This window comes from Homo sapiens, chromosome 10, assembly GCF_000001405.40.
Source record: "Homo sapiens chromosome 10, GRCh38.p14 Primary Assembly".
Lineage (NCBI taxonomy): Eukaryota > Metazoa > Chordata > Mammalia > Primates > Hominidae > Homo > Homo sapiens.
The window spans coordinates 129,451,119-129,472,830 of record NC_000010.11 but is presented as its reverse complement, the minus strand read 5'-3'; the positions used below and the strand labels follow the sequence as shown (position 1 = coordinate 129,472,830).

At 47.0% G+C, this 21,712-nt stretch overlaps 1 protein-coding gene across 1 annotated transcript in view, besides 4 other annotated features; it reads right to left on the bottom strand.

The window, feature by feature from the left end:
* Window positions 1–5,590, bottom strand: part of MGMT (O-6-methylguanine-DNA methyltransferase) — a 303,743-nt gene extending 298,153 nt beyond the window's left edge. Inside the window, exon 1 of the mRNA NM_002412.5 lies at window positions 5,535–5,590. The gene's annotated coding sequence lies outside the window, so the exon portion shown is untranslated. The remainder of the gene's footprint in view (window positions 1–5,534) is intronic.
* Window positions 4,802–5,724: an enhancer, noted in NCBI's record as "H3K27ac-H3K4me1 hESC enhancer chr10:131265371-131266293 (GRCh37/hg19 assembly coordinates)". NCBI's record gives its function as "activates a minimal SCP1, AML or CMV promoter by ChIP-STARR-seq in primed H9 embryonic stem cells {active_cell/tissue: H9 hESC(primed)}" and the evidence as "EXISTENCE:reporter gene assay evidence [ECO:0000049][PMID:30033119]".
* Window positions 4,802–5,950: a biological region, named in NCBI's record as "H3K27ac-H3K4me1 hESC enhancer GRCh37_chr10:131265371-131266293".
* Window positions 5,291–5,490: a silencer, noted in NCBI's record as "silent region_2938". NCBI's record gives its function as "represses an Ori minimal core promoter by ATAC-STARR-seq in GM12878 lymphoblastoid cells {active_cell/tissue: GM12878}" and the evidence as "EXISTENCE:reporter gene assay evidence [ECO:0000049][PMID:35858748]".
* Window positions 5,511–5,950: a silencer, noted in NCBI's record as "silent region_2937". NCBI's record gives its function as "represses an Ori minimal core promoter by ATAC-STARR-seq in GM12878 lymphoblastoid cells {active_cell/tissue: GM12878}" and the evidence as "EXISTENCE:reporter gene assay evidence [ECO:0000049][PMID:35858748]".

Sequence of the window (21,712 nt, the reverse complement as noted above, 5' to 3'; positions counted from 1 at the left end):
CCTCAGACGCACCAGAGGTGGCAAATGTGGCCAAGTGATCCCGACCTCCAGTCCTGCCTCCACCAAAACAGAGCGACTCTGCATCCGCAAACACCAACCGCCTTCATTCAGGCCTCCCCAGCGCCAGGCCTCCTTCTGGATGGGAACTGTCCCTGGCCCTGCTTTTGGAGAAATCTGGCCTTGGAAGGTTAAGTAACTCTGCTCAAGGGCACAGGATTGTAACTTGTAAAGCAGGTCCAAACGGAAGCCCATCTGTTCCCAGAAGGTGCACTTCTGACCACCGTGCACATGCCCCCAGTGAGGGCTTGGGTGTGTGCAGATCTGCAAAATACAGATTCGGATTGGACTGGGGGGAAAACGAGGGCTCGAAATGGTTCTTCGCCGTCTTCTCGTTTCATCCTTCCGTGAGACTCAGCTCCAAATTAAAATTTCTATCCATGTAGTGGATAGAAATTTTACTTTTAAAAAAATATGTATTTACTGTCTCGTGTGCCTATACTTACCCGGGTAGACCGAATAAGCATAATCGTCCCCACCCAATGGATGAGGAGGTGCCTGGAGGGCTAAGAGTTGCCCAGGGGGACCCAGCTAGGAAACAGCATCACTCCCACACACGGCCTGGCACTTCCTGTAGAAAAGCTCAATTCAGTCCCACAAAATGTATTCAGCTGTGCCTCTGAAAGTGCACCCTCACCTGAGACCAGGAAAATGCCTTGACCCAGAGGGGGATTAAAAACAAGACAACCCTCTCAAAAGGAAAGAAGGGGTGAAATATGATACGGGTTGCCCGTGCTTCGCGTGTGTTTGTAAAACTGACGCCAAAGTTTTGGTAACATCTGCATCTTGTCATAACCACAAAACTGAAAACTCAAAAGCAATAATAACATGTTGGGTTTGCAATTTGAAGAGATTCACGTCTCTCAGGAGTTACAAAACCGTACTCAGACCCATATGCACAGAAAACCTGCAGCAATGCCAACTGCCGATGGATACTTCTGGAAGGGGGACTCGGATCTTGCCTGGGCTGGAGAGTGCTACTTCCCAGAGGATCCTAAGGCCTTCCCTAGAGGTGCTCAAGCATTAGGGTCTGCCAGAATCCCCTGGCATCCCCAGGTTCTGGTCCTGTAGGTCTCCCATGGGGCCCTGCAATCGAGAGACCTCTCTAGCCAGCACCCACAGTAATTCTGATGCAGAGGGCCCAGGTCACCCTCAAACGCTCCTCCACTGTTGCCTGTGAAGATCCCACTTTACGGAGAGCAACAGGTTCAAGGGGCTGTGACTCGTCAGGCCTTGCTGGAATCGCATTCCAGTAGTGGCTCTTACCCCACACAAGCAGGAGAGACACCTGAACATGATATCCCCGGCTGCCCACCGGAGTCCTCTTGACTGGGAAGTACAATGTAGCTAAAAGTTTAAAAACAAATGATAAATAACTAGCGATTATTTATTGCATTTCAACATATAATGCCCCATCTCCTTCTCTGCCCTGAGATTCATTCACTCTCTTCACCCACCTAAATATCTCTGAACATCCCGTGCCAGAATTGCCTGATCCGTCAATAAGGCAAGCGCTTTCTAAACCTCTATGCATATGACTCAATTTGTCAGTAAAAACTGCCACCCGCGCTGTGCTTGCAGAAAAATGTCCATAAACACATTATTGCGACTGGCAGAACGATGTCTATAATAAAAACACATAGATTTAACAAGTACCTCCTTTCACAAGCCACGCCGCTGGTGGACTATCCATTCGGTGTCCCCCAGCCCAGACTTCTGGGAATGGGCGGCAGGGCTGGGTGGGAGCCTCTGCTGACTTCGCAAGCATCACAGGTAGGAAATTATTCTACCAAGAAACTTTTAGGAGTAGGAGAGTGAACACACCAGGCATTTATTGCACTCTCACCATTCCTTTCATGGTTACACACACTATGACTAATTTAACAACCCTAAGAAAATGTTTTTGTAGAATTTTTTACTGGTTTTAGAACAGCTACCTCCAGGTGGGGTGAAGGGGACACGAGGCCTCCTTGGAGAACCCTGCTCTGCTGCTGAGCCACTGATTTAACTGAAAACAACTTGTGGTGTCAAAACCAAGTTTCACCATTCAGAGCATCCGCATGGGCAGCTCCCAGGGCGGCCTATTCAGTTACTTAGCTGGAGGAGCTTCGGGAGCGCAGGCTGCTGAGGACTGGCTTTGCTGCCGGGACCGAGCACCTTGGCAGGACTCAGTGTTTGATTCCTTTCCGGGTGATCCACACCTGCCAAAGCCACTCTAATACTTCAAAGATCAACAAAGTCACAAAAATGATTTCTTCCTCTTCATAAATCACTTCAATAGCTCTATGAAGAAGTCAGTCATTCATTACATTCCATACTATATTCATTAGTTTCCCCCAAACTATGCAGCCCTCCGATATAAGCTGTACTGTTAATTTTTTTAAGTCAAAAGAAAACTAGACTATGTCCACCAACCAGCAGATATGCAGCAGTTAATGAAAAGCCACAGAACACACATCTTGCAACATTTGGTCCACAACACAAGGTCTCCAACTTCTACTTACCTATGTCCAAGACAGGCCTGCAGAGCTAACAGCGTAGGTTCACAAAATCCTCATGCCAACCAAGGACCCTCCTGCACAGCTCAAACCTCCTCCCTCCCATATAAATCCTTTCACTTCAAAACAAGAGTGGGGCGAAGGGCTGGCTTGTGCATCATGAGTGTCTATATAAAGACCACTCTCACCCCACAGTCAGGTGATGGTTTATGTGTCTTCTCTGATTTTAAATCCTTCAGGTTTCGTTTAAATAATATCCTGCGAGGCCAGGCATGGTGGCTCATGCCTATAATTCCAGCACTTTGGGAGGCCTAGGAGGGAAGATCACTTGAGTCCAGGAGTTCGAGACCACCCTAGGCAACATACGGAGACCCTGGCCTCTAAAAACAACAACAACAACAATTAGCCAGGTATGGTGGCGCACACCTGTAGTCCCTGGTACTTGGGAGGTCAAAGCAGGAGGTTCGCTTGAGCCCAGGAGCTTGAGGCTGCAGGGAGCTATGATCTCACCACTGCACTCCAGCCTGGGCGAAAGACCAAGACCTTGTCTCTAAAAATAATAAAATAATATTCTGCGGTAAGACCCCAGCTCTTTCAGAAAGTAGCTGCATTAAAAACTACTTGTCCCAGGAAACAGAGGGTCAGGAAGGACCGTAGCAACAGCCCAAGAGCCGAATGAGCACAGGGCCCTGCAGGGTCTGGGAGGCTCAATGTGTCCCCTGGAGGGACTAGAGTCCCAAACGGAAGTCAAAAATCTCAGGGCAAGTGGATCTGGACATGGAACTTTATGCTGGGGAAGGGGGTCAGAATGAAGTGCAGAAACAAGAATAATGCTAAAGGAAAAGATAATGCAGAAAATTCAGTTTTGCCTCCATTTTTTTTCTATCAAAGAGAATATACTGAAAAGAGCATTAGCACCAAAAAGAAAAATGGAAGGTCTGAATCACTGGCTCCTAAATGTGTGTCCTCTGCAAAACAGAACAGACAATTTAGTAACTTTATTTTATTATAAAATACTGAAAGAGTCAGGGTTTTGGTGTCCTAAGAAAGGGTGGGAAGAGGACTGGAGAGGAACAAACTCTGAGGGGGCAATGGGGAAGGCAAGTTCTTTTTCAGGCCCTTCCTACCCCCTTCTTCCCTGCAAAAGGACAGAGGAGGCCCTGATTGAGACACCTGGGGAGGAAACCCAAACAACGAAAAGTAAGGCCCAGGTGATATCAAAGTAAGACCTCAACAAGGTTCAAGAATCTGAGCAGCTGAACAAGGTGCTACCCAATGTATACCTAGGGCTCTATTTCTTTCAACCTTACTAACAGCAAAGCCTTTTTAAAGTAGTGCCTAATACTATTAGTTAAATCCTTATTTTGATACAGATTTTTTTGTTTCCCCTTCAGGACAGTTTCACTCTCGTCGCCCAGGTTGGAGTGCAATGGCGCAATCTCGGCTCACTGCAACCTCCGCCTCCCAGGTTCAAGCAATTCTCCTGCCTCAGTCTCCCAAGTAACTGGGATTACCAGCATGCACCACCACGCCTGGATAATTTTTGTGTTTTTAGTAGAAACTGGGTTTCACCATGTTGGCCAGGCTGGTCTCAAACTCCTGACTTCAGGTGATCCACCCACCTCGGCCTCCCAAAGTGCTGAGATTACAGGCGTGACCCACTGTGCCTGGCCCAGATTTTTTTTTTTTAATGAAGATATATACATTGAAAAGTACCTGAGTATAGCTCCGTACTGGTGGTCTACTTCATCCAGGCCCCTGACTGTGGCAGACACTACTCCACTATTCAAATTCCAACCCGAGACAGAGGGCCCAGGAAGAAAGACACGCGGCAGAGCAAGGCCAGCTCTCCTCTGCTACTTGCAGGCAGACTCCGGGTCTGGGCAAGTATCCTGGCCCTCTGAGTTAACGTGATATTAACAATCAGCCAGGCTCTTGACGCGGTTTCCTTCAAAGTTTTCACACCCCCACCCACCAGGTGCGCTAAGCTTTGGGTTTTTAAAATCTTGTTCATCTCCCAGAGTGTTTTAGCCATTGAGAGGGCCCTGAAAATAACAAAACCATCTCCTAGACACCTGCCCAGGGATGGGGGAGATGACGGGAGAGCCTGACTTAACAGATACTCTATAGGTTTCTATTTGGATGTCTATGTAAATAACCAGTCTAATTCTCAGCTCTCTGTGCTTAACATTCTACTGAGAACAGCTCTCTGGACCAAGCCGCTTCCCTGTCTGATGATGATCTCAGCAGGCATAGGTTGCACACACATGTACAAAGTCTGCTTTCCAGGACAGAAAGCCAGCTACTCAGCTGAAGCAACTGAGAGCAAACACCACCCTGAGATTTCAGGAGATGATGAACCCAGGAGTGCGAAATACATAGTTCAGAACTCCTCTGCGGTGTTATAACCGACATTACGGTGCCCAGTGTGTGTGGCTCTCCAGCGAGCCTTGCTTACTCTAAGTGTTGATGAATACAGTTAGGGTATGATGTACACAAACACCAGCCATAGTAACCAGAAGGCCCCTAGAACTTGGCCTCCAGCAGGAAGGAAATATGGGACTCTGCCTAAGTATGCTAAAGGGTTGCTGCAAGCCAAGGCCCGCGCAGGGGCTTCTGGAAGCTTCCTGGAGCAGCTGGCGGAGGGAAAGCTGGCAGCATGGAAGGGTAGGAAGAACCCGGGGCCCGGGCCTGGGGCTGGCACCTAGAGGTAAGGCAGGGGCTGCCACGACCCCCGCCACACGCCAGTCCACAGTCACTGCAGCGCAGCCTAGTCCAGGAACCCCAGGCCCGGGGAAAGGCTGGGCAACACCTGGGAGGCACTTGGGGCGCACCTGGAGCTCGCCCGGGATGGGTGGGGGTCAGGGCGGCCCCACACCCGACGGCGAAGTGAGGGCGCCTGCAGGACCACTCGAGGCTGCCACCGTCCCGAGGGAGAGCTCCGCACTCTTCCGGGAGCGAGGCGACCCAGACACTCACCAAGTCGCAAACGGTGCGCACCGCGAGGACCTGCGGGCGTCGGGACGCAAAGCGTTCTAGGGGCGCGGGCTGTCCCAGCATATCCGGGGCGCGGGGGCGGGGCCGAGGGGCACGGGGATGGCGGCGTGGGGCGGGGTCTAGAGCGGGGCGGAGCCGAGGACCTGAGAAAAGCAAGAGAGCGCGCGGGGGCGGGGCCGGGGCGCGCGGGGGCGGAGCTGGGGCGGAGCCCGGGAGGGGCGGGGTGTTCCCGCCCGACCGGGTCGGCGCATGCCCTGTGCGGCGGCGCCGGGCCTGAGGCAGTCTGCGCATCCTCGCTGGACGCCGGCACGCCGGCCCTGGTCCTCCGGCAGCGCCGCTGCCCTGTGCGCCTGACCCGGATGGCCCTTCGGCCGGTACAAGCCGGGCGGCGCCTTCCCAGCTTCCGCCTGAGGCTCTGTGCCTTAGTTTGCCAAATGGCCCGTACCTTTTCCTGTCACAGGGATAGTCCGCGGGCGTGCAAGCGACCTGCCACGTGCCCGAGTGGTCCTGAAAGCGCGCGGGGGTCGTAGGACGGCGCCCGCTTAGTGAGAATCCCGGTCCTGCTCGGGGCGGCTACGCTGAGCCCGGAGCGCGAGTCTCTCCCCTCCTGGTGCCGCTCCCCTAGTCAGGGACCCCCAGACCAGCAGAGACCCTGTCAGGGGGCCGTGGGGGCAGCCTCCAGGGCCTGTGGTGGGCGATGCCGTCCAGGGGCTGCAGTCACCGATGGCCTAGACACTGCCAGAGCCTGACTCAGCCGCTCTCCAGAGAGCACACAGGGTGCCAGGCCCTGCTTGGGGTTGTGTGGACGTTATTAGGAGTTGAATTGTGTCCACCAGAGAAGCTATGTTGGAGTCCTAACTCCCAGTACCTCACAATGTGACCTTATTTGGAGATGGGGACTTTACAGAAGCCATCAATTAGTGGGCCCCTCATCCAGTATGACTCGTGTCCTTATAGGCAGAAGGCCGCTTGGGGAGGAGGATTGGAGGGCTGCACCTGCAAGCCACCAGAAGCCTAAGAGGACAGACCCTTCCCTGGAGCCTTCGGAGGGAGCAGAGGACACTCTTCCCTGGAGCCTTCAGAGGGAGCAGGATCCTAACACACCTGGGTTTCAAACTTCTGGCCCCCGGAAGTGTGAGACAATAGGTTTCTGTTGTTTTAAGCCACTCAGTGTGTGGCACTTTATTATGGCAGCCCCAGGCAATGGGTACAGAAACCATTGTCTCTAACGTGGTTGGCATAAGCACCCCAGGGAGTAGTATCATCCCTGGAGGCTTCGGAGAGGTCACACACCCCTTGGCAGGATCCCATCCAAGGCCCACATGTTCTAAGCCACCATGCTACGGGCCTTCTAGGTTCTGTTTGTTATCTTAATGGAAAGGGGTCTTCACCTTCCCGGTGAAGTTTCCCTGTTGGGATTCGGCCAATGCTCATACCTTCGTATTTGTGACTTGCAGGATCCAACATATTAGCATGAGTGATAAGGGTTGTTCAGAGGAGAACTTCAGCAGGATTTGCTTTGGGATGAGCCCTGGTGACAATACAGGCTGCATCATTGATCCTCTGAGGTTCCCCACCCCGACCCTGCCTTGGATGAGACATGTTTTAAATAGCTGCTTGTGGGAAATAAACTAGGCCCTGAGTACACGATATAATGGTCAAATCAAGGCACTTTTTCCCCACTGAACCTGGACACAGCCTCGGAATCCTTCTCAACACTGTGTTCCAAGCAGCCATTCACATTTAAACTAATGTGGAAGGACAGATGAAACATGTTTGCCCTTGGCTCTGGTTTTTTCCATTAGCCTTCTATAAGACTTCGGGAAACTCGTCTGACTTCTCTAATCCTCAGTTTCATACTCTGTAAAGGAGTCTCATGATAACGTACCCTACGTGTGTACAAACTATCCTTCCATATTAGGGCATGTGTGCATAGGGAAAATAAACCACCAGCACCACACCACACTACTAAGAAATAATGCTATACACCTGGCCACTTACAGCCTGTTACTACCAGGACCCAGTTAGAACCGGGATCTTAATAGAACCAAAGGAAAAACAATGCCGAAATGGAATCAGAGTGCCGACTGATATTCTAACAAGTGTGCTGTTAAGTAGTTTTGCAGTTAACACATGACTCATACGTTTATCTGAATAATATTTTAAGACGAATCCCTAAACTCTTAAGAAAAAGAGACTGGCCAGTCTTAGCATCTCTAATTCCCCACCCTAGGAAAGAAAGGCCAATGTGGTCATCCAAAGGCCCTTTAGGAGGGCCCTGTGGGAATGGGGAGGCGGTCCACGAGAGAAAGTGCTGGCTTCCCAGGGAGATGTGTGGACCTGGCCCTGGCTGTACTGAAAGAACTCAGTCCCCTTGCTGGCGTGGTGGGAAGAACTATGTGAAGGGCCACAGCTACTTCAGTGGTAAGGACTGTGTCAGGGGCTCCAGGATCAGGAGCCAAATAAGGGTCTCAGTGCAGAGGGGAAAGAGGAAAAAGGCCACCACCTGACCAAGGACTGGCCTGCAAAAGACCAGGATTCAAGGATGTGACTGCTTAGGCTGTCTGATGAGCAGAACTCAAACTCACACTCCTTACACCTGCTGGTGCAAGCTCCTCCCTTCATCATGGTAATTTCAAAAACCCAAGTTTTCATCAAGAGCTCCCCACGCCTCTCCCCCTTGTCCCATTACAATCTCATCATCGCCTGTGTGTTCGTCCTACTGTTAAAGGAACACAGGATGGCTCCAAAGCCGGGAGGTCGCCGGGTCCACTGAAGAGTAAGGAACACAGGACAGGGAGGCTCGGATGTGGTGCCAGCCCTGCCCCTCACTGAGCAACCACCTGACTTCTCTGTTCATAGGATGACAGTGCAGGACTGGTTGGGTGAGATTCCTTTGAGGTCTCCCATCTTCAGATTAACAAATCACAACCCCTTTTCCTCCAGACACAGATTCCTATGAAGAACTTTTTACAAAAGAGGTGGGAAAACCACAAAAGGGTATGCTCAACTGCAGTCCGACTTCCTCAAGGAGCTCCCTGGATTTCCTTTAAGATCAGCCAGCTTTCTTGTGGGCACTGGGAACAATGTTAATCTGCATAGTTTCTTTAAACATCCAAATGGATACCTTTCGGGTTAAGCAAATGAACATGACATGCGATTGCTTCTAATGATTTGCAACCCAAGAAATTTGTTTAATAAGCCTGTCTTCCCAAGCTACTTTTGTGACATTAGAGACCACTTACAACAAAGCTGCCTTCAGTAGTCAAACTTAATCCTTACTACCCTACCTTTGGGAAATGAAGGGATTTTATAACGATCACATAAAACCTTATGTGGTTTGAAAGCCCCAAACTCCGGACAAATGTGTGATGGTCGTGTAACAAAAGAAACATATTACAGAGCTCCCCACGTTAAGTGTTTTACATATAGTTTGCTTTTAGGATAGCATCTCAAGTGGAGGGTTTTGCTGATTAACACAATTGATTTTCTTAGTCCCAGTGTTCCTGTAAATGTTGGAGCCAAGAGCTGGAGTCAGCGCCTTGGACCTGGGAGAGGCCAGGAGGCCAGGGAGCCTCAAGCACTCTGGAGGAAGAAGCCTGAAATGAAAAGGTGGGGGCCATCGGTACCGGGGTTGAATGCCAGGTGCTTCTGATTACGCTCCTGTGTGACACTAGTTGTCAGCATGGCAGAGGCATCATGGTGTAACTGCAGCAGGGAGTGTAATCTACTAGTGGGCAGGAGAGAGGGCGGGAAGGAGGGACTTCAGGCTTTGCCTCACATAGAGGGTAAGGGAATGGTGCAGGGTGGAGAAAGGGGATGGAGGTGCAACTAAAACAGGAGGGGCTCCTTAGCTCTTGCTTTCCTCCAAAGAGGCAGAACATCCTCCTGCCAGGAGCCCCTGGGAGCTCCTGTTGAGAACTGGAACCCTTCAGGCCCTTTTGTGTCAAGAAGGGCATGGAGGAGAATTCCTAAAGAAACGAACCAGAGGCAGCCCACAGACTCCTATTAGAAAGACTTTTCCTGAAACTTCCTTTGCCAGTTTGTGGGTGCAGGGCCTGGAGATGGATTTATGGGACTCGTTGCAGGCCCCTGTGGGGCTTGTAGTGGAATGGCACACAGATGAGGAAATAGTTTGCTCTCTGGAGCAGCGACCTCTACCCAGGAGATGCGTAGGGGCAGTGGGAGTACGAAAGAGGCCCTTTCCTGCACTGACTGTCCCTGCAGGAAGCCCTTTCTTTTTTTTCTTTTTTTTTTTTTTCTCTTTTTCTTTTTTTGAATTGGAGTCTCTCTCTGTCGCCTAGGCTGAAGTACAATGGTGCCATCTTGGCTCACTGGAACCTCTGCCTCCCGGGTTCAAGTGATTCTCCTGCCTCAGCCTCCTGAGTAGCTGGGATTACAGGTGCACACCACCATGCCCAGCTAATTTTTCTGTATTTTTAGTAGAGACGGGGTTTCACCATATTGGCCAGGCTGATCTTGAACACCTGACCTCAGGTGATCCACCCACCTCGGCCTACCAAAGTGTCAGGATTACAGGCGTGAGCCACCGTGCCCAGCCCAGCAAGCCCTTTTCAAGAGCCCCAGTGTGCAGTGTAGCCCCTCACAGAGAAAACAGGCTCAGCCAGGATATCTGCTGGGGTTGGAGGGGTGATGCAAGGAAAGACCTGCAAGAGAAAATGCATGGCACTGGATGTCTCAGGGGAGGAGAACCATGCAGGTAAAGAACCACAGCTATTTGTGGAATTTGGATCCAGTTGTCCAGTAACTGGTGGACAAAGATCATTGCAAACCTTATATAGCTCTTCCCTCCGAACTGTTCCAACTTTAGACAATTGACTATCAAAGGAATGTACATAATGTATGTAAACAAGCAAAGTCCGCTCATCAGATGTATGTATTTGGATACGTTGGCTTGAAGAACTACTCACACAAATGGAAGTGCTTTGGAGGACATTCCCACCCTGGAAGGGGCTATTTGAGTGTCTGTGACTCAGGACTGGGATTTTGTTTGATGTTGGCCCTTTTTAAACCAGCTCCTTCACTCATTACAAAGTGTTTTTGATCCATTTTCGGGAAGGGCTTTATTTGTAACACATGGTTGGCAGTTTGGGCAGAATCCTTTAAATGGTGTGAAGAGCTGGGGAGTGTGCACCTGGGTCACTAGAAGGAAGTGGGTCCCCCCCCTCCCCTGCCCCACTGGGATGAACCAGAAGTGCCCATGCTTTTGTGACTTGGAAATTAAAGCAAGAGACGTGGGGATTTCGATGCTGAGATTGTGATTTGCTGTCATTTGCTTCTGACTGGGAAACCACGAATGAAATTAAGACAAGAAAAACAGCCACACTAAGGGTTCTGTCTCAGTCACCAAAATACAAATTTAGAAAGGAAAAGTGGCTGCATTTCCTCCCAGGGTAACTGCTTCAAACCAGCCTAGCACATTGAACCACTGCTTTAAGGTAACAGGAGGCAGATGTGGGAGAGTGATCACCACCTGAGCGGCAGAATTGGAGCTGGGGCTGGTGCCGGTGGCCGTCTGTCCCATTGTCTCTTTGCCTGAGATAACCCCACTCAATCTAGGAGTGGGGAATGACAGACACTGAGGTCCTCAGAATGATCCCTCCATCTGTCTGATCAGCAGCGCCTGGAGATCAGAGACTCTCCCTTCTTTGTCCAGGAGCCCGCTGGACAGGAATAGGACAGCACCTTCATTCCTGGCAGGGGTAGGGGAAAGTTGTGAAGCTGGGGGTGCTCATTTCTTGGTGAGGGCAGTGTCAGGCGGCCTTTGCTGGTGCTCCTCACGATGCAGGTGAAGGAGGCCCAGAACAAAGCCGCCAAACCCAAAGGACCTTTATTAGAAAGTGAACTACAGCCCAGAGAAGGAAAGGCAGGAGGACTCCAGGGCACAGAGGCTGAGCTCAGGTCTCGTTCACTGGGCCCTCCGCAGGCCTTCCTCTTCTCATCTTCCCCAGCTCCAGGCAGGCTTTACCCACCCAGGACCCAGGCTTACATCCTTTCAGCTCTGTGCCCTCAGAGTTGAAATACACAATGGTATTGGTGTATCGAACCACATCAAAGCTCTCTCCCAGCTTCCCCCAAAAAGAATCTTAGGGAAGGGCTCTGACTGGCCTACCATGGATGATTAGGACAACCTCTGGACCAATCACGGTGGGCAGGGGAATGAGGTACCTTCCCAGCCACGGTCACATGCACTCGCCATGGCCTGGAGAACAGATCTGATATGGGAATGAAGGGGAAGGGGTGGGAAGGGCAGGATCACCATGAGGCAGTAAGCCACCAAGTTTGTATCCTCCCTGTTCACAAGGATGGTGCACCTGCTGTGTGCCAGCCCTTGAGCCCTTTGTGCTGAGCATGCATACTCACATGCTGCCTCACCTTAAGTCTTCACAACTCTTCATCCACCAGCTGTGTATGGATTGGGTTGGGGAGGCCCTGGTGAGGAGGGGGCTGGGGGTGCTCTGCTTCCTGCAGCCCCATCTTCCCCAAAGCAGTAGAGGGAGTTTCTGGCCACTAAATAAGTGCCCGGTGGATCTGACTCTGTGCAGCGGAGCTTTCCAGGGAGGCTGTTGACAAGGGGACGCATTTCATGAGGCTGGACAGCGAGACAACTTGGTGCCAACCCAGGGCACTCTCCTAGCCTTGTCCCTGCCCCAAGGCCAAGCAAAAGCATTGGCAAGTCTGTGCCTTGGTTCTTTGTCTTAGGGATTAATCTTAATTAGGACATTTATTGGAGATTCATTAAGATACTAAAGAACTAGAAAGATAGGACTTGTAGAAATTAATGATAATACAGTCATGTGCCACATAATGATGTTTTGGTCAACAATGAACTGCCTGTACCATGGTGGTGCCGATAAGATTATGATGGAGCTGAAGAATTCTTATTACGTAGTGATGTCATAGCTATCATAATGTCGTAGTGCAACATATTACCTTATGTAGGCTTGGGTATGGTTAGATACACAAATACCATGTGATACAATAGCCTGTCGTATTCAGTACATGAAGGTGTGTTGCCTGGGAGCAATAGGCTACACCAGCTGGGTTTGCGTAAGTCCACTATGATGTTTGCGAGATGACGAAATCACCCAACCACACATTGCTCAGGATGCATCCCCGTCGGAAAAAAATGTGTAATCATATTTGAAAATGATGATGACTTTTTAAGTGACAGGCTCTGGGCTAGGTGCTTTATACCCATCCTCTTTCTGCATCCTCACAGCAACCCTATTAGGTAAGTACTGTCATGATCACAGCTTTAGAAATGAGGAAACAGAGTGGTTGAGTAACTTGGTAAGATCACACAGCAGTAGGTGTTAGAGTCATTTATGCCCCAATTTATTGCTTCTTTGATGAGTAGAAGCCGCAGGAAAATGAGAGCCAGCATTTACTGGGCCTCATAGGGGACATTGATGGCTTTTACCTGCAAGCTCTACTGTCTCTTTGTGTACAGCAAATCTCCCATTGGTCATAGTGGTGGACTGATCAGAGTTCTTGCCTGGATGGATGTACAGTTATTGCAGGGAGTTGCCTTTTCCTGCTGGGGCACAAAGCAGGGACCACATGGCTCTGGGGCTGCGTGTGGCCATCTTTTCACGAAGGAAAGTTGCATGGAGATAGAAACAGAGCCCAAACCACATTGTTGAGCCCCTGGATATGACCAGATCCGATCATGAGTATAAAGCCACCCCTGGACTTCTCATTTCTCTGTGACAATAAATTCTCTTGTTTGAATAAACTGTGAGTTGGGTTTCTGTCATTTGTGACCAAGAGTCTGGAACAACACAGGGGTCTCTTGTGTGCAGACACTCAGTGCTGTGTGTTTTTACATGTGTCATCCTTCTAAAACTCACAGCTTTGGCCAGGCATGGTGGCTCACGCTTGTAATCCCATCACTTTGGGAAGCCAGGGAAGGCAGATCACCTGAGATCAGGAAGGAGTTTGAGACCAGCCTGACCCACATAGTGAGACTCTATCTCTACAAAAATACAAAAATTAGCCAGGTATAATGATGCGTGCCTCTAGTTCCAGCTACTCGGGAGGCAGAGGCAGGAGAATCTCTTGAACTTGGGAGGTGGAGGTTGCAGTGAGCCAAGATCACACCACTGCACTCCAGCCTGGGCAATGGAGCGAGACTCCACCTCAAAACAAAACAAAACAAAAACAACAACAAAAAACCTTACAGCTTTGTGAGATGAGTATCATTACACCCATTTTATAGGTGAGGAAAGTAAGGATTGCAGAGGTCAAGTTACTTGTCCAAGGCCACTCAGCTATGAAATGGGCAGAACCAAACCTTACAGAAAATTACTGATCTGCAAGCATCAATATTCTGAGAGTATTCCCGATTCCTAAGAACACAGGATTAGGGAGGGGAGGGGAAGAAGGAAAGATGAGAGAGGGAGAGAGGAGGGAGGAGGGAATGGGGGAAGGACAAAGAGAGGGAGACAGGGAAAAGACTGTGTTAGCATTTTTCAATTGAGGAATTTGAAATCTTTGGGCGGCAAGTTATGACGGTATATTTCTAGGGCTTAGGAATTTTATCCTGCTATTTGTTCTTCAAATAAAAGAATCAGAGTTGCTGACTTAGTTTAAACCAACTCCAAAGACTGCAGAGTTGACTGCTGATTAAAAACTTGTCTTTCTTTGTCTGAGAAGGAAATAGTAGATATGGTTTCCCCGAATGTGTCACATTTGCAAATTTGATTTTCATTTGCAGCATTTGAAAATGCCAATGACTGGAAAAATATAACTTGATTATTAACAAGCTAGAAATAGTAACTGAGGATTCTCTTTGGCATCTACCCATGCTTGTGTGATAAAAATAAATTAGAAGAAGTCTAAATATGAATTTAAAGGTGATTTTAGGATCAGCAACCTAACAGTTTTTCTGGTCACCCCATGCTAGTAAGTCCATGGACTAATTCCAAAGTACAGTGGGTTCTTAGATGAATAAAATCTCTAGATTCTAGTAATGCAAAAGGTCAATTTTGATTCAATCTGCTTTGCCATTTGTGAACTGAGCCTGAATCTTTAAAAAAGTAAACACATTCGAGCCACTTTATTTCTACTCTCTTTTAGAGACGTGCAATCATTTTTAATGGTTAAACCTGTATTCAATTGCATTTTTCAAATCCTCATTGTTTCATTTCCTTTCAGTTCTGCTATCTAAAAAATTTTTTCCACCTCATTTTTCCTGATCATTTGTTCTTCATACATATTCCACAGCCACAGGCCCCTGGTTGCTGAGCACTAGGGAGAGTTGATAAGAGGAATGAGGTGGTGTTCGGGAAGGAAGGAGTCAGCCCCTCCTAACCCTGCTAGCCACAGAAAGACTTTCAGATTTCTATCGACTTAGGAATAGAGTCTATTGGAATGTGGTTCAAACCTGCATCTTGCATCAGTGGAAATGGGCATTGTGATTGCTGTGCTGAAACCTGTGCTCAAATGCATTGGGAGTTTTATACTGTGTTTCGAACTTCCAAATAGATAATGTCAGAACATTTCTGAAATGGGATACTAACATCAAGATATACGACACCAATCAACAAGCATCAGGCAAAGCAGTGCATAGAACTCGGGGTGGAAGAGACTCCTAGAGAATTTCCATTTCCATTCCCTGTGTCAACAGCGTGGTAACTCACCTCCTAGATTGCTTTATGGTTTCAGGAGAAATTCTCAGTAGGCTCCCTGTGCTGTACTCAGCTCCGTGTTCAAAGCCCAGGAATTAGATATGTCGTAGTTTATGAAACTGTTTATGAAAGGATCTTTTTTGAATTGTTCAAAATCCAAAAGGAGTCAAACTTTGACAGTTTAAGACAACGGCAAGAGGGTCATAGCGATCTCCCCAGTGCAGCCTTGGCACTGAGGCTCTCTGGTTGAAAATGCAATTTCTTTTTTGTGAATTTCTTCCAGCCCATAATGCTCTGTTTGAAACTTTTGCCTTTTTGAAAGGATTTCTTTACTATGAAGCAGCTGACAAAGGTCATATGATGAATATGTTTCGGGGATGATAACATTTTGATTAGATATGCAAGAATCTTCTATCCTTCCCTAGGATGTCATATTCTAACGTTTTCCATTATTTTAAAAAAATCTTGTTAAGTTGATACTAGTCTGCAATAAGAACTTGAATTTTGTGGCTTATTTTCTTTGCTGTAATGTGCCAGCACCGTGGGCATCGTTGCAGGGAATAAATGACTCTTCCCCAATAAACCAAATGCCCAAAGAAGCCCCTGGAGGAGGCAGGGATGTCCATAAAAGTTGAAATGGATTTCATAATATGGTGTTCAATTTAGTATAATAAGTAGAATTCAAAAATAGCCTAATCTGCCAAACGAAAATACCTTTGCTCATCGCGGAGGGTGGGACCTTGTACAGGAACCAAATGTATGTGGCTTAAGACATGCCAAAATATTTTCATTAAATTATTCATTTTCTTCCATTTAAGTCATTAGTTACCTGAAAAAATGGAGATCTTTCTCTCTCTCTCCCTCTCTAAGCTTGAAAAATTAGCCCCTTAAAGACAACTTCCAGAAAGCATTTATCAAAAGGCCAATCCTGGTTCTGGAGCTCATTGAGAAAAGGTCTGTGTTTGCAGCTTTGTCGTTCTCCTGCAAAGATTCTCAGTAACAGAAAATATTTCAAAAGTGATACCGGTAAGCTGACATCATTAATTGTTCTCTAATACTGGGATTGCTGTGGAAAATGAAGCACCAAGGCTCAGCCTTAGAAGGCAAAGTGGGAACCTGTTTAGAAGTTTGATAGATGGCATCATGATGTTCAGAAGAAAAAAACGGGCAGTTAGAGAGAGACGGAAGCACCCGGAGAGTGATGGAAGCGGGCTCTGGTTCCTGTGCCACTGGGTTTGATGAAAAATCAGCACAAAGACAAGAGAGCAGGGAAAACGAAGAAAGATGAGGGCACCCCCAATCCACAAAGGTGTTAAACACGCACTTTCCACAAACGCAATGCTTCTAAATGATGTTCCCAGAAATCAAAATGATCTAATAATCTCTGCAAAGTACGTATTTACCAAGATAAAACTTCTCAATCTCAAGCATCATTTTGGAAACTGAAGGTTTGGGAGTTTATTTAAAATTCTTTGTAAATTTTTTTCCCTAAACCCTTAATAACAGAGAAATAAAAACAATGGACACATCATCTGATGCAGTTTCATGATTACACTTCCACAAAATGTTCATGCATCCACATTTTACTCCATTCTTAAGCAAAATGATCCATAAGTGGTAAGTAAAATGATTTCAATGTCCACCTCAATAAATATTTTGGTAATGAGATCTTTAAAAATGTTTTAATTAGCAACCAAATGCCAATTTTTCCAGGCGTGTTTCCCACTCCCTCTCCACCCAGGGTCAATAGCAGCATCCAGTGTTTTCAGGCTGTCCCTGAACTCTTTGTTCAGTGATTGGAACTGATGAATTGTAGCTTCCTTTGAGCCAGACTCTGCCAACAGACCTCAACTTGCGTTTGTTATGGAGCCAAAAATAACCTTTAAATGATTAAATTCCTCAGTTTGTTTTGGTGGCACGACATGAGAAGACGAAAGTGGCCGCATTGCACCCCAGGAGGAACTCCAAGGATGAACCTGGAGGCATCCTAGCTCCATCGTGTCCTAGCTCTGTGGCCTTAGCACGTTTCTTAGCCATACAGAGCCTCAGTTTTATTGTCTGTAAAATGGAGATGATAATACCTGACTTACCAGAAAGCCTTGCAACTGACTGTGATAATGTCAGTGGAAATGCCCACCACAGTAAACCCTAACCACAGCAGGGGCTCAAATCGTTAGCTTCCTTTGGAAAGGATTACACAGCACTAGTTGTAGAATCTTATAACCCTCATGTAGTGCTTTAGAGTTGTTCAAAATGCTTTAATATCAATCATTGATTTCTCTCATAGTAACTTCAAAAGCCAGTGCTCACCTCTCTCCTGACCTCCAGGCCTGGTATGTAGTGGCCTATTTTGCATCTCGTGGAACCCGCCCTTCCCCTGGAGTGCCAGGTCTTTGTGAAATGTCACCAGCATCCTGGCTGCTCTATGCTACCCCAATCATTGGCCCCCAATGCAAGTCTTTTTTTTTTTTTTTTTTTTTTTGCAGACATTACACTGGTGTGCAATTATTTCTGCAGCTAGACGGTGCTGAATAAACATGTCAGACAAATGAAAACATGAATGAAGGAACCCATGAAACAATGCAAAGATAATTCTACAACGGAACTGAGAATTAAACTCCACAGGCTGGGACGGCTAGGGAAGGCATCCTGGAAGAATCAGGACTCAACATGGAGCAGAGGGGGAACTAGGGTGGGTCTCAGGAAGGAGTGGAGGACTGGAAAATCAGCCTAAGATCAAAGTGGGGATGCCAGAGGGGCACCTGCAGGGATCGGGAAGCCAAGAAAGTGTTTGAACTTGATGCAGTGGTTAATAGTGAGCCAGAGCAGGTTCTTGAGCCCAAGAAGGATGTGGGAGATAACTCCCACATCTACAGGTTTTCCAGCTGTGAGAGATGGATGGGACTGGCTCTTCAAAACACAGGAAACATGGCAATGGCCACCTCACTCCAACTAGCTAGGAAAACCTTCTGAGGAAAGGCTTCAAAGAATAGGTATTGTTTATCAAATGCTTTTTCCTTCCCCAAATGTATGGGCCAAAAAATTGTACATTATAGCTATGATAATACAGTAATTATTGACCTTTGCTAATTAATTTTTTATTTTTTTAAAAAAATCAGGACTCCATTTGAAAATGGCAGTTCCACCAGGCAGCTGGAGGAATTTCCCTGGAGCTCGCCCTCCTGTCACTGCACCACCTCTAACGCCTGTGCAGATTAAAAGCTGCCATTTACGGGCAAATGTGGATCCTATATTTTGACTTTGTCTAATTCTTCTTAAACTGGGCTAGCTTATTTAATATGAGGACGTTGTGGCTCTTGCTGAAGGCAGAATTAGCAACCATTACCTTTTAAGAAATCTGTGGACAATCTTTCCCAACCATAAAATCATTTCCATTCTCCAACCATCAAGTTTTCAAATGGATTTCGTAAATGTGCAAAAACTCCAAGCAAATCTATTTTTTAAAAATGTCAGGCTGCAAATAAGGAAAATCAGAAGGGGAGAAGGGAACACCATCTGTCAATGCCCCACCGGCCTTCATAGCAGCCCAGTTCTTATGATTAACCTACCATACTCCCCATAAAGTCTAAATCATTCTCACCTTCCCGGGAGTTTGTAAGCCAGACAATTGTGAAGGGGAACGACTCATAATACGACTGCAAAATTTCACAGTTGAAAGTCAAATAGCAGTGATTTTGCTTTGCCAGCCTGACACCACCTTGACCATGTGGATGTAAGTCCCTGGGCAGTGAACATGCTCTGTGAAGCACTGGAGTCATGTTGGTGCAAGCAACTCCTCAATTTAAAACGTGGTAGGACACAGTCACAGAGGGCATCGGGCACTTTTTTCTCCATCAAAATTCCATACATTATGGTAACTGGGGAATTAATGCCAACCACAACCACAATATAAAACCTCCACCAATTACGCTGTGTGTGAGTCTGAGTTCTCCAGGTAAATAATATATATCCTATTGGTTCTGTTATATCTATATATCTTGTAATTATGTGTGTGTGTGTGTGTGTGTGTGTGTGTGGTGTGTGTACAGTCATGCCTTGCTTACTATCAGGGATACATTCTGAGGAATGGGTTGTTAGCTGATTTCATCCTTGTGCAAACATCATGGTGCATTTACACTCACCTAGCCTAGCCTACTCCACACCGAGCCTGTATGGTATAGCCTATTGCTCCCAGGCTGCAGACCTGTACAGCATGGGACTGTACTGAATGTAGTAGGCAGCTGTAACACAGTGGTAAGTATTTGTGTATCTAAACATGGAAAAGGTACAGTCGAAATACAGCATGAAAGATAAAAAATAAGAAACCTGTATAGGGCGCTTAACCATGAATGAAGCTTGCAAGACAGGAAGTTGCTCTGAGTGAGCCACTGAGTGAGTGGTGAATGAATGTGAAGGTCTAGGACATGACTGCACGCTATGTAGGCCTATAAACATTGTACACTCAGGCTACACTAAATTGATTTCAAAAATAATTATGCTGTGACATTGTGACAGCTATAACATCACTCAGCAATAGGAACATTTCAGCTTCATTATGCTCTTACGGGATCACTGTTGTATATGCGGTGCATTGTTACTTGAAATATTATGGCACATGACTGTATATATATATAATAATATGTATATAATGAGATTTATGTCTTATTATAAGGAATAGGCTCCTGCAATTACAGAGGCTGAGAAGTCCCAAGATCCACAGGTGGCAAGCTGGAGACCCAGGAGAGCTGATAGTGTAAGTTCCAGTCCGAGTTTATGGGTGTGAGAACCAGGAGGGCTGGTGGTGTGGTTCTAGTCAAAGTCCAAATCTGAAAGCAGGAGAAGACCAACGTCCCAGGTCAAGGACAGCCAGGCAGAGAGAACTCGGTCTTTTTTATTTTCCATTCAGGCCCTCAGTGGATCGAAAGGGGCTGACCCACATTGGGGAGGGCAACCTTCTTGACTCAGTCTATAAATTTGAATGTTTCTCATCCAGAAACACCCTTGTGGACACACCCAGAATAATGTTTAACCAAATATCTGGGCACCCTGTGGCCCAGTAAAGTTGACACATAATATATACCACCACATGCTGGTACTTAAAAACATTAAAGATCATTTCACAAATGTGTTGACCATTTTAACTCACTCCTCCCCTGTGTGTAACTCAGACCATGCAACCTGAGACCCCGTGTTGAAATTCACCTCTTGGACTATGTCTTAAAGACGTCCCCATGGGTCTAGAGATGCCACACATAGATTCATTGACAATCCCTGAAGAGAACTAAGGCAGGCATTCATTTTCCTCACATCTATATAGTCTTAAATAAGAGCTGCCATTCAGGTACTGAAATGTGTGGTGCATTAACCTCCTGAGAAACACTCACTCTATTTATTATTTCTGAGAAAGACCCCACCTCTACTAACTAGCACTCTTGTTCTCTTCTCCCATGTCCTTCTGCTCTTCCTTCTACAGGGCAAGCCCCAACCATGGGCATGATAATGTCAAAAGCAGACTTGAGAAGAGCAAGAAGACACTTCCTTATTGACGGACCACCTCATTGATTCATTCATTCATGCACCATTCATTTTGAAAAGAAATAATCTGCCATTTGGGTGGCAGGGAGGAGATGACAAAACTGAACATATTAGGCACAAGAGAGTGAAGTTTAGAATTATTTGCACACAAGTATTGAAATGATGAGTGAGTGGGTTAGAGGAGTGACTTATTGACTGAGGTGGAAAGAGCAAGTGCAGTGGACAGTGACTGAGATCCAAAGTCCAAGTCCAAAGTCGGAGGACTTTCAAGGAATAACAGTGACCAGGAATAACATCCAGTGAGTGCAACATGCCATGAGACTTTCTGAGCTGGACAGAGAGCTGCAGGCCTGCAGAGAGGAGTGTGACTTTGGCCAAAGTCACACTGCTGCTGGTTCCTCCTTCTCTGTCCCTGTCAATTGTCCCTGATCTTGTACCCAACTCTTCAACTCTTTCAACCCTTATTTTAATCTCTCTCTCTCTATTTTAGCATATAAAATCATGGTAAAATATACATAACATGAAATCTACCATCTTAACCATTTTTCAGTGTGTAGTTCAGTGATATTCATCACAGTCACATTGTTGTGCAACCACCACCACCATCCATCTCCAGACCTTTTTCATCTTGCAAAACGGAAACTCTGTCCCCATTAAACCATAACTCCCCATTCCCCTTCTCCCCAGCCCCTGGCAATCACTCTTCAACTTTCTGACTCTATGAATTTGACGACAAGGGACTTCATTTGGTGGAATCATACCGTATTTGTCCCTTTGTGTCTGGAGAATATCACTTAGCAAGTCTTCCAGGTTCTTCTATGTTGTCGCATGTGTCATTTTCCTTCGTGAGGTGGAATAATATGCTATGTGTGGATGCGTCACAGTTTGTGCATCCATTCATGCATCAGCAGATGCTTGGATTGTTTCCATCTTTTGACTTTTGCAGATAATGCTGCTGTAAACATGGATGTG